Raw genomic sequence first — 14,521 nt, 5'->3', positions numbered from 1 at the left:
GCCAGGGTTGCCTGGCTACATCTCCCTATCATTCCTCCAGACGACTCCATTTCCAAAGTCATGTAGAATCCATTCCTCCTCCTTTAAGGATGATGAGAGTCACCTACAATAACTTCTGTCCTTTCTCACTATTGTCTACCAATCTCCTCCTCATTCTCCAATATTCACTTAGAAAGCCAGCTCCTGACTCAGTCTTCTTGTCCACATCTATCTCCTATTGCCTTGTGGAATGAGGATGACCCATCCACTACTTGCTAGCCTCATTCCTCATCCTACCTGACTTCCATAACCACCATCTCTACTCTGGGATTCTACTCCTACAACCATGTCCTTGGTATTGCTAGCATGGATAATAACAATGCTAATAATCACTAATATTTGGAGGCTTATTATGCACCAGACAGTGTGCTCAGTGCCACACAAACCTTATCTCATTTAATCTTCACCAAAACTTGAAACCACCTTTGCAAAAATTATGACAGTGAAAGAGATTTGACCTAACTGACTCCGTCTTGCTTCTATCCTCCACGCTGTCCTTGTTCATTCCTCGGCAAAGACCAAACTAACTTTTAGAGGAACTTAGTTTATATTTTAACTTTAAAACAAAGATGATAACAACCCTTTCTTGAAATAAACCCCCTTCTTGCTTGGGGACCAGACTGCCTTTGTAAGACTAACAAATTAGCCTCAAGATTAGAAATTATTGTTTAGGAGTTATGCAACCAGAGGCCATAAGATTTGAACCTCTCCAATTGCTCCTAGGGATAAAATCACTATTGTAAAACCTAAGATTGGTGGTTGAGATATCTTTCAGACCCTGCATTCTGATGCACCAGCTGGAGCCACCCAGACTGATAATCTGGCTCAACCAGTCCTGGCTCACCCAGGAACAGAAGACAGCAAGAAGAACCCACTTTGACCCCCTATGATTTCAACTCCGACCAAACCCATCAGTACTCCCCACTATCCTAGCCCCCATCTGCCAAATTATCCTTAAAAAAAAAACCCAGTCTCCACATTTTCAGGGAGACCAATTTGAGTAATAAAACTCATCTCCCACTTAGCCAGCTCTGCATGAATTAAACTCTTTCTCTATTGCAATTCCCCTGTCTTGATAAATCGGCTTTATCTGGGCAGCAGGCAAGGCGAACCCGATGGGCAGTTACAAACTCCATAGAAGACACTTGGGTAGAGAGGTTCAAATAAATTTTTAAAGGTCACTCAGCTTGGAAGTGGTAGAATTTTAATTTAAACTCAGCTCAGTCAGACTCTTCAGCCTGTGCTCTTAATCATCCCTGTGGGATGGAAAGAATCAAGATAGAAACCTCAGCCCTGCCACTTCTGTCACACCGGCTTTTTGACTTTGAGCAAAATAAAAACCTCTTAAGCCTCAGTTTTCTAATTCATAAAATGGTGTCCAGAATAAAGAATGTATGTTAAGGGCCTAGCACAGTGCCAGATGCAACACAAATGTGCATTCCATCCATTCCACCAACAAATGCTTATTGAGGACCTCCCAAACATCCAATCCTGTGCTAGGTGCTGAAGACAGAGCAGTGAATAAGACAAAGAAGGTTCCTGCCTTCCAAGATGTGCACAGCATTTGGTGGATGCTCAATAAATATTTGAACAAACTCTCAAAGAGGTCAACCTACACTCAAGATTTCCAGTCACCACTCTGCCTTTCAATCAACCATAGTTATTCTGCTATAAAGCAATCTAATGAGGTTCCTTTCCTGCTTAAAATCCTTCAGTGGATTCCTCATTGTCTCACAGATAAAATCCTTCATTTCTTAATTATGTAAATTTCTCAACACAATATGCGGTTTTGGCTACAGGTAAGAGGCTCGGTTTTGTTCACCCCTTCTTTGTTATGCAATCAAACCTATCTGGAAGCTTGAACTGCAAATCAGATGAATGTAGACCTATTGTAGTTAATGAGCCTGAGAACTGGAGTCACCACAGTTTGGCATCCTAAACTCTCCCCACCTCATCACACAAACATAGACTCACACAGCTGCAGCTCCTAAGGCAATGCAATGGGTTCTTTGAAAAGGTTTGAAAATCTGATTGTAGGACACAGCCCATTAGTGCATTATGAAAGCAATTTAGTGGATGCAATCAGTGATGTGGAAAACGAGTGTATTACATGAGCTTATGGCAAAGTACTGGTATACAAAATCTATGTTACATATGCTATGAACATGCTCGTGTACTGAACTGTAATACAAATTGTATTCACATTGTAGATCATCATCAAAATAGTTTGAAAGCCATTGTTGTAGATCCTCTATGTAGCCTCAGTTCCCATGTTTCTTCAGTCACAGCTTGATAAGACTCCATCAAGCCACTTGCAGTTACCCATTGTGTGCTTCAGTGCCTATGGTTGTATAAACCAGATGTGGTGCTAGGCTCTACGGATGCAATAGTAAGCATACCCAAGGTCCTGCTCACATGGCACTTAACAATCTAGAGAAACTGAGAAATATTACACTAACCACACTAATATGTAACTGTGAACCAAGCTAAGTGGTCTAAATGAAAGAAATGGTTTTTCAAAATACTTATCAAAGGCAATTAATCTAGTCCAGGGCTTCAAAGGAGGCATCCCTGAAGATTCAATCAGCAGAGACCTGAAGACTATGTGAGAATTAACTATGTAAAATGGGGGAGGAAGAGCATTCCATACATGTAATACAATGTTAAGAGGCTCTGTGATGAGAGAAGGCAGCTGTGTTTGACAAACTGAAAAAGGGGCCAGCATGCTAGGGCCCAGAGAACAAGTAGGAAAGTGACAAAAGATGAGACCAGGAAAGCTGGCAGTGGCCAGATCCCTTAGGGTTTTATGGGCCTGGAGTTTGTTTTATGGCCTCAAAGTAATGGGAAGCCAAACAGGAGACGATGAGATGGAAGTTGTCTGCAGTGTGGAAGATGGAGGAAAGAATGCCTGCAGGAAGACCAGTTAGGAAGCCCTCAGAATAATTTTGGTGACTGGTAACAGTGAACTGATTTAATATATTGGAAACAGACAAAGGGGAGAAAAGCTAGTGGTTGTGAAACAGAGGCTGACTCAGGCTTCTGACTCACACAACTGGATGGATGGTGTTACCAGCTGGAGAGAGTAAACTAGAAGAGACTAGGTTTGGAGAAGATTATGGAGTTAGTCTTGGAGTTGCATTTAAAGTGACTCTGAGATGGATATGTAAGTCATAAGCTCAGAATCAATAACCTAAGACAGCCTAGAAGTCATGAGTTTATAGATGGTAAGTGAAACTGGGTATATATGTGAGAAAAATGCCTGGGTTTGAGCCATGAAGGCTTAACCACAAATTTAACCACTTCTGGGTAAATTCTTACCACAAGTGTGTATATACATACACATTAACCACACACCTGTTTACTTTTTAAAAGTTCAAATATAGAAATAATAAAATGTGAAAGTCTGCTCACTCTGGGTTATCAGCAACTCAATACACACCTTTGTAATTTAAAAATAAAAATGGGATTATGCCATATATACTTTGCTACAATCTGCTTTGTGAGATATTCTTCTACACTAGGGTATACACAGTTCTATCTTATTCATTTCAATGGCCAGAAAGTATTACATAGTAGGGATGCATCACAATTTAAGCAACCCTGTAGTCCCCACTGATGGACAAGTACGTTATCTGGCAGTTACCTCTACCTGCCCATTCAACATCCACTGCCCCCTTCTGCTTGGTTCACTGAACCTATTTCATTCCAACGGCAACATTCTCAGCTGCAGGTGATGGTTCATGACTGGCTTAAGCCAAATGTGACCATCTTGTTACCCACTTTTATAGCATCTCTTCTATGGGTAGCCATGCTATCTGGTTCTGGCTAATGACCCTAAGAAGTCAGTTTCTGAGTAAGCTGTTGTTTTCCTAAAAAAAGAGAACTAACACTACACTCTGCTCTTTCTTCTTTCTTCTTGCTTTAGGTATGAATATGATGTCTGAAATTTCAAAAGCCATTTTGCAACTACAAGGCCATAAGCCAACACTAAGATTAGTAAAACAGAAAAGCAGAAGAGATAGCCTGGGCCCTGAAACACACAGAAATATAAGTAACCACTGCCTCATTTTAAAGAATCAAAATCCATTTCCACTTTAAAGGCTGAAAAAGTAAAATGAAATGTTTGAATCAAAGATTCAGAGCAGAAATATAAGTTATGCCCTAATAAAAGAAGCACACTTACAACAAGATGGTGGGGAAAATACTTTCAACTGTTCCTGAGACTGCCTTTGAGTTTTGGGTCCACAAGTGCTTTCTTGCCCCCTGCCAAGGACATCCCTCTGTCCTGCAACTTTACAGAATGGCCTTCGTATGCAATCTCCAACGTCTCTTGCTTTCCCTTGTTTGAGATTTCTATCTTCTTTGCCTGCTCTTTAAAAATATGTCAAATTAAGAAATAATCTTTTGGACAGGCATGGTGGCTCACGCACGCCTGTAATCCCAGCACTTTGGGAGGCTGAGGCAGGCAGATCACCTGAGGTCAGGAGTTGGAGTCCAGCCTGGCCAACATGGTGAAACCCCATCTCTACTAAAAATACAAACATTAGCCAGGCATGTTGGCATGCACCTGTAATCCAGCTACTTGGGAGGCTGAGGCACGAAAATCGCTTGAACCCAGGAGGTTGAGGTTGCAGTGAGCTGAGATTGCACCACTGCATTCTAGTCTGGGCAACAGAGCAAGATTCTGTCTCAAAAAAATAAATAAATAAAAATCATAAAAAATTAAAAATATTCTATGGAAAGTCAGAAGGTTTTTGATTTGCGTAAACCATTACGTTCTATAAATGCAGGATAAAAATGACACATCAGAAGTAACACTTGTTTCAAAAGCAGAAAAAAGTTCCTCTTTTTGAGGATAAGGGTGCTTCCTCTATTTAATACTGGAAAAAATTTCTATTTTACTCTAATGTTGAAAGTTTCTTCTGTTCTCAACTTTGCCAGCTTATGTTCTGGCAAAAATATTAGATGTTAGATTTCTTAAAATTCAGAACTTGCAGCTCCACTTAAAATACATACTTAAACGCTACTCAGAAAATGTGTAGTGTGATTAAACAAATATTTAAAATTAGACACAAAAAATTTATGCAAAATTCAAACTGTATATAATTCACATTTATGCTTCTAAACAAATAGAAGCTCACATCTGTACTACTTTTACAATTTACAAAGTGCTTTTATATACATTTTCTCATTTGCTATTCATGACAGACACGTGAGACAAATATTCTTATTTTACAGATGGAAATAGACCCAGACATTATTCAGTACTTTAACCACTAATAGTGGAACCCTGAGACTTTAGATCTGCAAAGGGGTTTAATAATGCAAATATCACATATATTTCCATTTTTAACACCATATTTAAGTTTTCCATTTTCTTAATAGAAAATGATAAAAAATGTTTTCCCCAATATAATAATACAAATGGAAAATATTATAGACAGTCATATACTAACCCAATGACCAAGATTCACCAGAAGCAAAACCTATTTGGAGGGGTCCTATATTGTTACATATATACAGGGCACCAGCACCAGAACCACATTTAGACTAATACTTTTTATTTCTAATTAAAAGAAAACAATGCAGGGCACTCCTGCAGCCTGCAAGTCTAACTGTACATACGTATGTGTCAGACTATGCAGGTGGCCAAGAAGAATGCAAAGAGATATTTTATCCAAATTTGGAGTTTAGGGCCTGATTGTCCTAGCTTAAGCCCATAGGAACCTGACAACTCGTTCATACCTCTCATCTTTAGTCATAGTTTCTCCTTCTCCATCCCCTTTTCTCCGTAACTACCCTGTGCCATTTAGACTGGAAATTCTAACAGGTAGCTTTTTCTTTCTGAATTATCTTTACTACTGTATAATTTTTATTTTCAGAATATTCCTTATTTCTACATCTCGAAGACATTTCTTTATAGTAGATGGGGGAGCTAGAGCTTACATTCACTGCCAGAAAAGGGTCAGTTCCAGTGTTAATTTCCCAGCAAACACCTGAGAGAAAAACTGAACAGAAAAAGAATAGTGATAGGTGGCAGAGCAGTGACACCTGTGCCCAGAAAGCCGCACTGCAATTGTCTAATATTTGAGGCTCTCCTTTGTTATAACTCTGCCAATTTAAACTAGAAAATTCTGGCTGCTTGAAAATTCAAAGCAGATCAATACATTTAAATCACCGGTTCAAAAAATCACTCTTTTTCATGTTATAATGTTTTTATTGCAATTGAGGATGTTTTCAATAAGTATCTTGAGCTTGAGGCCCTGGCTAAGTATTCCTTTTGTACTAGAAATCAGATTTCTCTGGCACAATTCCATTGCCTGCAATGGTCTTTATCAAAACTACAAAAGCCAGCACACTATTTCAATATGTATTCAGTTGTTCATATCTAAATACCTCATTAGCTATGAAACAAACCAAATATAAATGCTGAATATACAGTACATAGCAACAGATTCTTCACAGAAGAAAACAATGAAAGACTAATTTTCTACAATATGTTACCTGTTCATTAGTTCTTCAATAACATTACTTAGGCTATTTCAAGGATAACAAAATGTATGCGCCACTACCCATGTTTTCGCAACATTTTTTACCTAGGTTCTAAAGGGAATAAATGAGGATGCATATAGTCAGATTTATTTTTATAAACTTCTGATGTTTCTTTTGTTGTGCATCTTACATGAATATATGGAGACAAGAACAGATGTACACTTAAGTCATTAGTAGTTCTATGAATTTTGCTTATATGGCTAGTTGCTTATATGGATGTTGTAAATGACAAGATAAAATAACGAAGTTTGATAAACTCATCCGTGCCCTGTGAACTTTAGTCTATTTACTGCATAAATTGGTTCAGTCACTATTTATTAGTTTTAAAAAAATGGTTTTTAAAAGCTGCAAACCATACACATTTCTGAATCAGGAAGAGGTAAACTGTGACATAGTTCCCCTGTGCTGCTGATTCTTTTGGGGAGAAAAAATAAGTTTCCAAATTCTATTTTTAAAAAAACTAGAGGTTTTTTTTCTATGATTAGCCTTCACTCTAAAGTCCCTTTTACCCAAGGCATGGTCCCTGGGTCATCTTTTTGAGGCTTAGTTTCTGGGAAGTTTTCAGTAAACCGCTCTCGTGCTTTGTCCCAGTTTTTTTTGTTCTTGTTTTGGAGAAGGTGAACATCTTCAAATGAGGATGGTTTGCCTGTCCCCAAGCCTGCATGTGTTCGCCGAAGCTGAAGCTGGATCTGTTACCAAAAGTTGAGCAGAGGACTTATTTTAGAGTCTAAACACATTGAAATCTGCTGTGTCCAACTTAGGACTCTACAATTTTTTGATTTATTAAAGATTGATGCAAAAGAAAAACCTGTCAGATGCATCAAATACATACAGGAATATATATACCTTTATACATGGAACTTACATTCATTTTTCTATGTTGTCTTGCCTTGTCAATAAGTACAGCCTACTTTACAGAAAATAGAGTGCTCCTTAACTAGCAATCACCAAATTTCATTTAGATGCTGCAGAGTATGTCATTCCACCCTAACCAGAAATAAAGGCAATGGATATGTTTAAACCCACTGTCCTATCCTTATCTAAGTAAGTGAACAAGCAGGTTAAACATTAATAACCATAAAAAGAATTTGATTGTTTTCATAACAGGAGGGGAGCACTTCTCAATATTTTAAGAACATTCAAAGCTACCATTTACTGAGTGCCTAATGTAAGGTACAATGCTTAGGGGCTTTATCTTCAAGACAACCCTGAAAAAGAGTTCTTATCCCCATTTTTTCATAAGAAAACTAAAGTCCAAACTTGCCCAAAGCCACATAGCTAGTAAATGATAGAGCACATATTCTAACCTAGGTCTGACTACAAAATCCTTGTTCTTTCCACTGTACCTCAAAAAAAATGAGAAAGCTGGTATATACTCACACTGATCCATCTATTATTTCTTTAGGTACTAAGTTCATTATCCAGAAAGTTCTACAGTCAGGTTACTTATTAAGGTTTGTGTGAAAGATAACCTAAACCTCCTACGAACCATGGGACCATTAATTAAACCACTATGTCATTTTCCAGAGATTATTCTCTATATTTCATGTTACATGCTCTGATTCTTGAACCAAACAGATTTTTCAGCTCATACACAATCCACCTGTTTGTAAACTAACACTGTGATTGTTCTTGAGTGCTCTGACAGTTATTAAAAATGACTCTAAAACACAGAAGAACCTTTGGCTCAGGAAACAGCACTTCTCACCCTAGCTTTAATGTAGGGAAAAAAACTCAAAAAGAGGCTTTCTAAAAATATAAAACACAAAACAAAGCACATGTATATATTTGGTAATTGTGAATGCCACAAAGGCAGTAATCATGTCTCCTTTTGCTTTCTACTATATTCTTAGCACTTAAGGCAACGTTTGGCACATTAATGTACACGGTAAATGTCTGCTCTAGGAATAAATGAATAAAAGAAAATCCAAGTCTTACCGGCGTTTTCATTCCTCCACCATCCTTCCCCAGGCCCTCTCCTTTCTTCCAACCCATCTTCTCCAACATCTTCCGACCTTTGTTGCTATCAGTAATTTCACTTTAAGGAATATTAAAATGATAGTTGATTTATAAAAGATCTTTTAGGTCACATTTATAATAAATTCATGAATTAAAAGTAATTGGTACAACTACTTTAGAAAACCGCTTGGCATTACCTAACAAAGTTGAAGACACACAAATTCCACTGGTACATATCCTACTTAGAAAAGCATGTGCATGTGCACCAAAACACACATACAACAATGTTCTTCCAGCAAATCTAATAGCAACAAATCAGAAATGATCCAGATGTCTGGCAATGATTAAAATGGATAAATTGTGGTATAGTGATACAGTAGAATATTATTCAGCAATAAAAATAAACCATACCTAACAAAATAATGTGGAACACAAAAAATATAGACACAAAATAAATACTGAATTGTTCCATTTCATTAAAATTTTAAAATAAGTGAAATTAATCTATTGCTGTTAGGATGGTGATTACCTTTCGGGAGGACAGCAGGACAGTGATTAGGTGGGGCACAGGGAGAATAAGCTTCTGGGGTTACTGATAATTTCCTATTTCTTGTCCAAGAAATGTGTATTCTGCAATATGTTAATCTTATGATGTATCATTGAGCTATATACTTATAATTTGTGTAATTTTCTGTACATGTTACATATTAAAAAGTTCAAATTGAAATAAAACTTCTTAATCAGTTTGCATTTTTGTCCTATGATTCTATACTCTGCTAATTTAAGAGTATTTTATGTTCTATCTTTTCAGTTCCACAAAATATGCTGTTAGCCCTTCAGTTAATAACCAAGCAATGTCAAACCAATGTGTTTTATTTTAAATTTGTCTTATTTAATTTGAATGCACTCTTTATACTCTCCAAGATTATATTTTAAACATTAAACTTAAAAAAAGTGTCATGTTGCTTAGTGTACCTACTTTGTAATCCTATATTTCATCAAATAAAATGTTGGTAATGGATCAAACTCCATCAACTCTAAGGTACACCATTATTTTATGCACCATTAAGAAAAAAATGTTGCCATTTGTAACCATAAAACTCTTAGAGTCAATGCAATATGATATTGAATCAAAACTTTATAATTAGTTATCAGTTCTACATGAAAAATTTAAATTTTAACTAAACTCAAAATTTATATTCTGAGGAAAAAAATGCAGCTAATATTTGATTAAATGCAGAAATACGGTCATATTACAAACCTCAAAAATCACCTTTTTCATTTTTATCCAGACTACTTTGCCAAGAGAAAACTGAATCAGAGAAAAATAAATAAGAAAAATTATATTTCAGGGTCATTAAGAACAAAAGTATTTGAGTATTAAAAGAATTATTAAAAAATACCAGTCCATACCAAGTTCTTACCAATCTAGGCTTCTAGATATCTAGCATATAAAAGTATATACACTCAACTGTGTGGCTAGACTGTTAACATACATATATGTGTGTTTAAGTACAGGTGCTCATGTATTTGCTCAGCAATTTTTTAGGGGATAATAGAATTCCAAGATTAGTGGAAAGTATAAATAGACTTAGTGTCTCCATTTTGTTGTTAAAGTGTTAATTTTAAGGCCACTTATTGGCCAGACGTGGTAGCTCACGCCGGTAATCCCAACACTTTGGGAGGCCAAGGTGGGCGGATCATGAGGTCAGGAGTTCAAGACCAGCCTGGCCAACAACATGTGAAACCCCGTCTCTACTAAAAACACAAAAATTAGCTGGGCGTGATGGCACGCATCTGTAATCCCAGCTACTCAGGAGGCTGAGGCAGGAGAATCGCCTGAACCCGGGAGATGGAGGTTGCAGTGAGCCGAGACCACACCACTGCACTCCAGCCTGGGCGACGGAGCAAGACTCCATCTCATAAATAAACAAATAAATAGGCCACCTATCAGGATATATAGCCCTGAACATCAGACCACCCTATGAATGTTATTATGAACAAAGGATGTTTCGAGCCACTGTAATTCAAAACTTACGAATGAACAGATGCAGGAGCATCATCTCTTTGGAAAGTTCCTTCACTTCCAACCTGCTCCCTACGTTTTCCAGCTCTATCTTTATATTTTGGATTCTTCAATGTCTTTTCATCTTCGTATTCTGTATTCTTAATAAACACAAAATATTCATTCAGGAAAAGAAAGCTGATAAATAAAACAATTTCTGTACATGTGCCTTACTTAACGAATATGATTCAATGTGGCCTCTATAAACAATGAAATAAAACAAGCTATGATATGAAGAAATTACAGGTGGCTCATGCCTATAATCCTAGCATTTTGGGAAGCTGAGGCAAGAGGATAGCTAGAGGTCAGGAGTTTGAGACCAGTGTGAGCAATACAGCAAGACCCCCATCTCTACTTGATTTATATTAAAGTTATAAAAAAAAGATATGAAGAAATTGTCATATTAGATATGCTACTTTTAGTCTATTCCCTTTAAAATGTTTATATTTCAAGTTATGCCACAACATACATATACATAAGAAGATGACATGGTGAAAATAACAGTATATTCTGACTTAATGCTGTGTTCTCATCTTGTCATATGAACTACTAGTATTCAAAGAAAAATACAGAATCCCTGGGGTTTGGGGGGAAAAAAATCTATCTCCCCTTTTCTCTAAGGAACTGAAAGTTCCAAGGGACCTATAGTAGTTTGACACTGTTTCTTGGAAGGGAGAAATGTAGAGACTTTTAAAAAACCCATTTACCCTGGCAACAATAGTTTTTTGCTTCAATAAAGCTCCATTTAAGTGACTTATTAGTCACTTAACAAACATTCCCTAGAAAAAGAGTATGTCAAGCTCCATGCTAGGTAATGGAATGCCAGAGGGAAGACATGCATAATCTTTCTTTGGCCTGTTGCAGTACGAGTGGTTCAATAAAGGTATACACAAGGTGTGGTGGTGGCACAAAGAAGGGGTAGTCAATTCAGCATTCATAGAAGCCTTCCCTTTCCCTTTGTTATAACTTGCTGATCTTTATATAAAAAGTATGATACTCATCCAGAGAGATGCTAGGGACTGGAGAGCAACTCAAGGAAGGTACGACAGAAGCTTTTAATTAATTTTGCTTTTAAAAAGAGAAGAAAAATATAGAACTATCTATCCTAGTAAGTTTTTCCTCCAGAAGACAATAAAGAAATTGAGCTAAAATTTTTGGCAAAACAATTTTATTCTCTCCTTAAATGTCTTCTATTTTCCCCCCAAATTGGCCTATCTTGCTTTTTTCTATGATTTCTCTACCTAAGTAAAACAGCAACAACAACGAAAGATACAATTTGACAGAAAAAATATGTTATTTTGGCAGCAACTTCTTTTTCCACATCTTCTTGAAGTATAAAAATTTAGCACAAATATACTTAAGACCTAGATTCTATATCTAGCTCTACAATTTAATAGCTGGGCTACTAAGCTTTAGTTTCTCAAAAGTAAACTAGAAATATTAATTAATTGCCTTCCTGGTCTATTTACAGGATTAAGTGGTAACTTTTTTAAAAAACAACTTTATTGAGGTATAATTAATATAAATAAATCATACATAGTTAGTGTACAATGAGATGCTTTTGGGATTTATGGACCTATGAAACTATCACCATAAGCAAGATAATAAACATATCCATCTCTCCCAAAAGTGTCCTTGTCTCTCTTTGTAATCCAACTCTCCAGACCTTCCCTGTGTAGCATTCCTCCCTTGTGTCTAAGCAATCACTCATCTTCCTTCTGTCACAATACATTAGTTTGCTTTCCTAGAAGTTTACATAAATGGTGCAGAACAGTTCTTCCCACTTTCTTGTTTGTAGTTCTCAACACCAACCAGAATGTGCTGGGAATGCAACATCCTGAGGTAAGGAGGGATTGGCTAAAACAGTCCAGGCTCTGTTCCAGTCCCCACCTGGAAACAGGATGTCCTTCAACATTTTAGCCCAGTGCGTCAAATAACCCTGAGGTACATAACCCAAGGTGCGATGCTTTCCAGGGTTGCTCAACTGCTGTGCAAGTAGGGCACACACAGTTGAGACTCCATTCACCCAGAAGGCAGCTTTCTGAGCTTTGGGGGTTGGTTTCCCAATAAATCCTAGGCTTCTGTCATCTCTTGCTCACTATTTGTAAGTAGTAAGTTTGCTTCATGTAACTTGTATGAGAGTGTGTTCCGTCTCACAGACCTCAGACAAGTTGGAAACCAGTGAATAGTGAAATTGTTCCACAAGTGGAAGCACATACACGTGTTTTATCTGGCTTCACTCAACATAACTATTTTGAGATTCATCCAGGTTGTGGCCTATATTACTAGTTCCTGCTTTTTTATTGCTAAGTAGTATTTTCACCATACAGATAACACCATAGTTTGCTTATCCATATATGACAGACATTTGAGTTTTTCTCAGTTTTTGGTTATTCAAAAAAAAAATGCAATGAACATTTGTTTACTGGTCTTTTTATGCACATATGGTTGCATTTACCTTGGGTAAATATCTCAGAGTAGAATGGCTAACTTGTAAAATAGGTGTATGTTTAACTTTTTAAGAAACTACCAAAGCAACCGCACCATTTTACATTCCCACCAGCAGTGTATGAGATTTCTAGTTCCTCCACAACCCTTCCAATACCTGTTATAGTCAGTTTTGAAAATTTTAGGCATTCTAATAGATGTGTAGTGGTATCTCATTGTGGTTTTAATTTGCATTTCCTTAAAGACTGATAATACTGAACATTTTTTCAGATGTTTATTTGCCATCAGCATATCTTCTTTGGTGAAGCATCTATTCAAATCTTTGGCCCATTTTTTAACTGAGTTGTTTTCTTATTATTAAGTTTTGAAAGTTTTTTGTATATTCTAGATATAGAAGTCTTTGACCAGATACATGATTTGCAAATATTTTCTCCAGCTGTGGCTTGTCTTTTCATTCTCTTAATAGTGTCTTTAGAAAAACATTAATTTTTAATTTTGAAGAAATACAGATTATCAATTTGTTCTTAAGGATTGTGCTTTTGGTGTTAGAATCTTTGCCTTTAAAAAAAAAGTTTCTAGAAGTTTTAAAGTTTTAGGTTTTACTTTTATATCTATGATCCACTTTTGGATCATTTTTATAGATGGTTCAAGGTATGGATCAACATTCTTTTTGTCTGTGTTTTTTTTTTTGGTAAGGCCATCCAATTATTCTACCACCATTTGTTGTAAAAGACCACTCTTGGCCGGGCACAGTGGCTCGCACCTGTAATCCCAGCACTTTGGGAGGCGAAGGTGGGCAGATCACCTGAGGTCAGGAGTTCAAGACCAGCCTGGCCAACGCTGTGAACCTTGTCTCTACTAAAAATACAAAAATTAGCGGGGCGTGGTGGCGGGCCCCTGCAATCACAGCTGCTTGTCAGGCTGAGGCAGGACAATCATTTGAACCCAGGAGACAGAGGTAGCAGTGAGCTGAGATTGTGCCACTGCACTCCAGCCTGGGTGACAGAGTAAGACTCTGTCTCAAAAAAAAAAAAAAAAAAAAGACCACTCTTTCTCCACCAAACTGCCATCACACCTTTATCAAAAATTAATTGTCCACACATATACATGGATCTACTTCTGGACTATTATTTTGTTCCATCCATTTATCTTTATGCCAATATGATACTACCTTAATCACTGCAGTTTAATTATAATAAGTCTTTACATCAGGTCATATTAGTTCTCCAACTATGTTGTTCAATCAATGGCATCATTTTGTAGAGATAAGATCTCGCTATATTGCCCAGGCTGGAGTGCAGAGCCTATTCATAAGTGTGATCACAGCTCACTGCAGCCTTGAACTCCTGATCTAAAGCGATCTTCTTGCCTCAGCCTCCCAAGTACCAGGGACTACAAACTACAGACACTATCATGTCTAGTTATGTCAAGGCATCTTAATGCAAGTTTTCTGAAAAC

At 37.1% G+C, this 14,521-nt stretch overlaps 1 protein-coding gene across 1 annotated transcript in view; it reads right to left on the bottom strand.

The window, feature by feature from the left end:
- The window catches only part of AGGF1 (angiogenic factor with G-patch and FHA domains 1), a 34,831-nt gene continuing 25,407 nt past the window's right edge, over positions 5,098 to 14,521 (bottom strand). The window contains exons 12-14 of the mRNA NM_018046.5: positions 10,589 to 10,716; positions 8,530 to 8,629; positions 5,098 to 7,280 (exon numbers count right to left, since the gene is read on the bottom strand). Of these exons, the coding sequence (NP_060516.2) occupies positions 7,080 to 7,280; positions 8,530 to 8,629; positions 10,589 to 10,716 (429 nt within the window). The 3' untranslated portion in view covers positions 5,098 to 7,079. The remainder of the gene's footprint in view (positions 7,281 to 8,529; positions 8,630 to 10,588; positions 10,717 to 14,521) is intronic.

The sequence above is a fragment of the Homo sapiens genome, chromosome 5 (genome assembly GCF_000001405.40).
Source record: "Homo sapiens chromosome 5, GRCh38.p14 Primary Assembly".
Classification (NCBI taxonomy): Eukaryota; Metazoa; Chordata; class Mammalia; order Primates; family Hominidae; genus Homo; species Homo sapiens.
The sequence above is the reverse complement of the archived record's forward strand: the minus strand, read 5'-3'. Positions and strand labels throughout refer to the sequence as shown.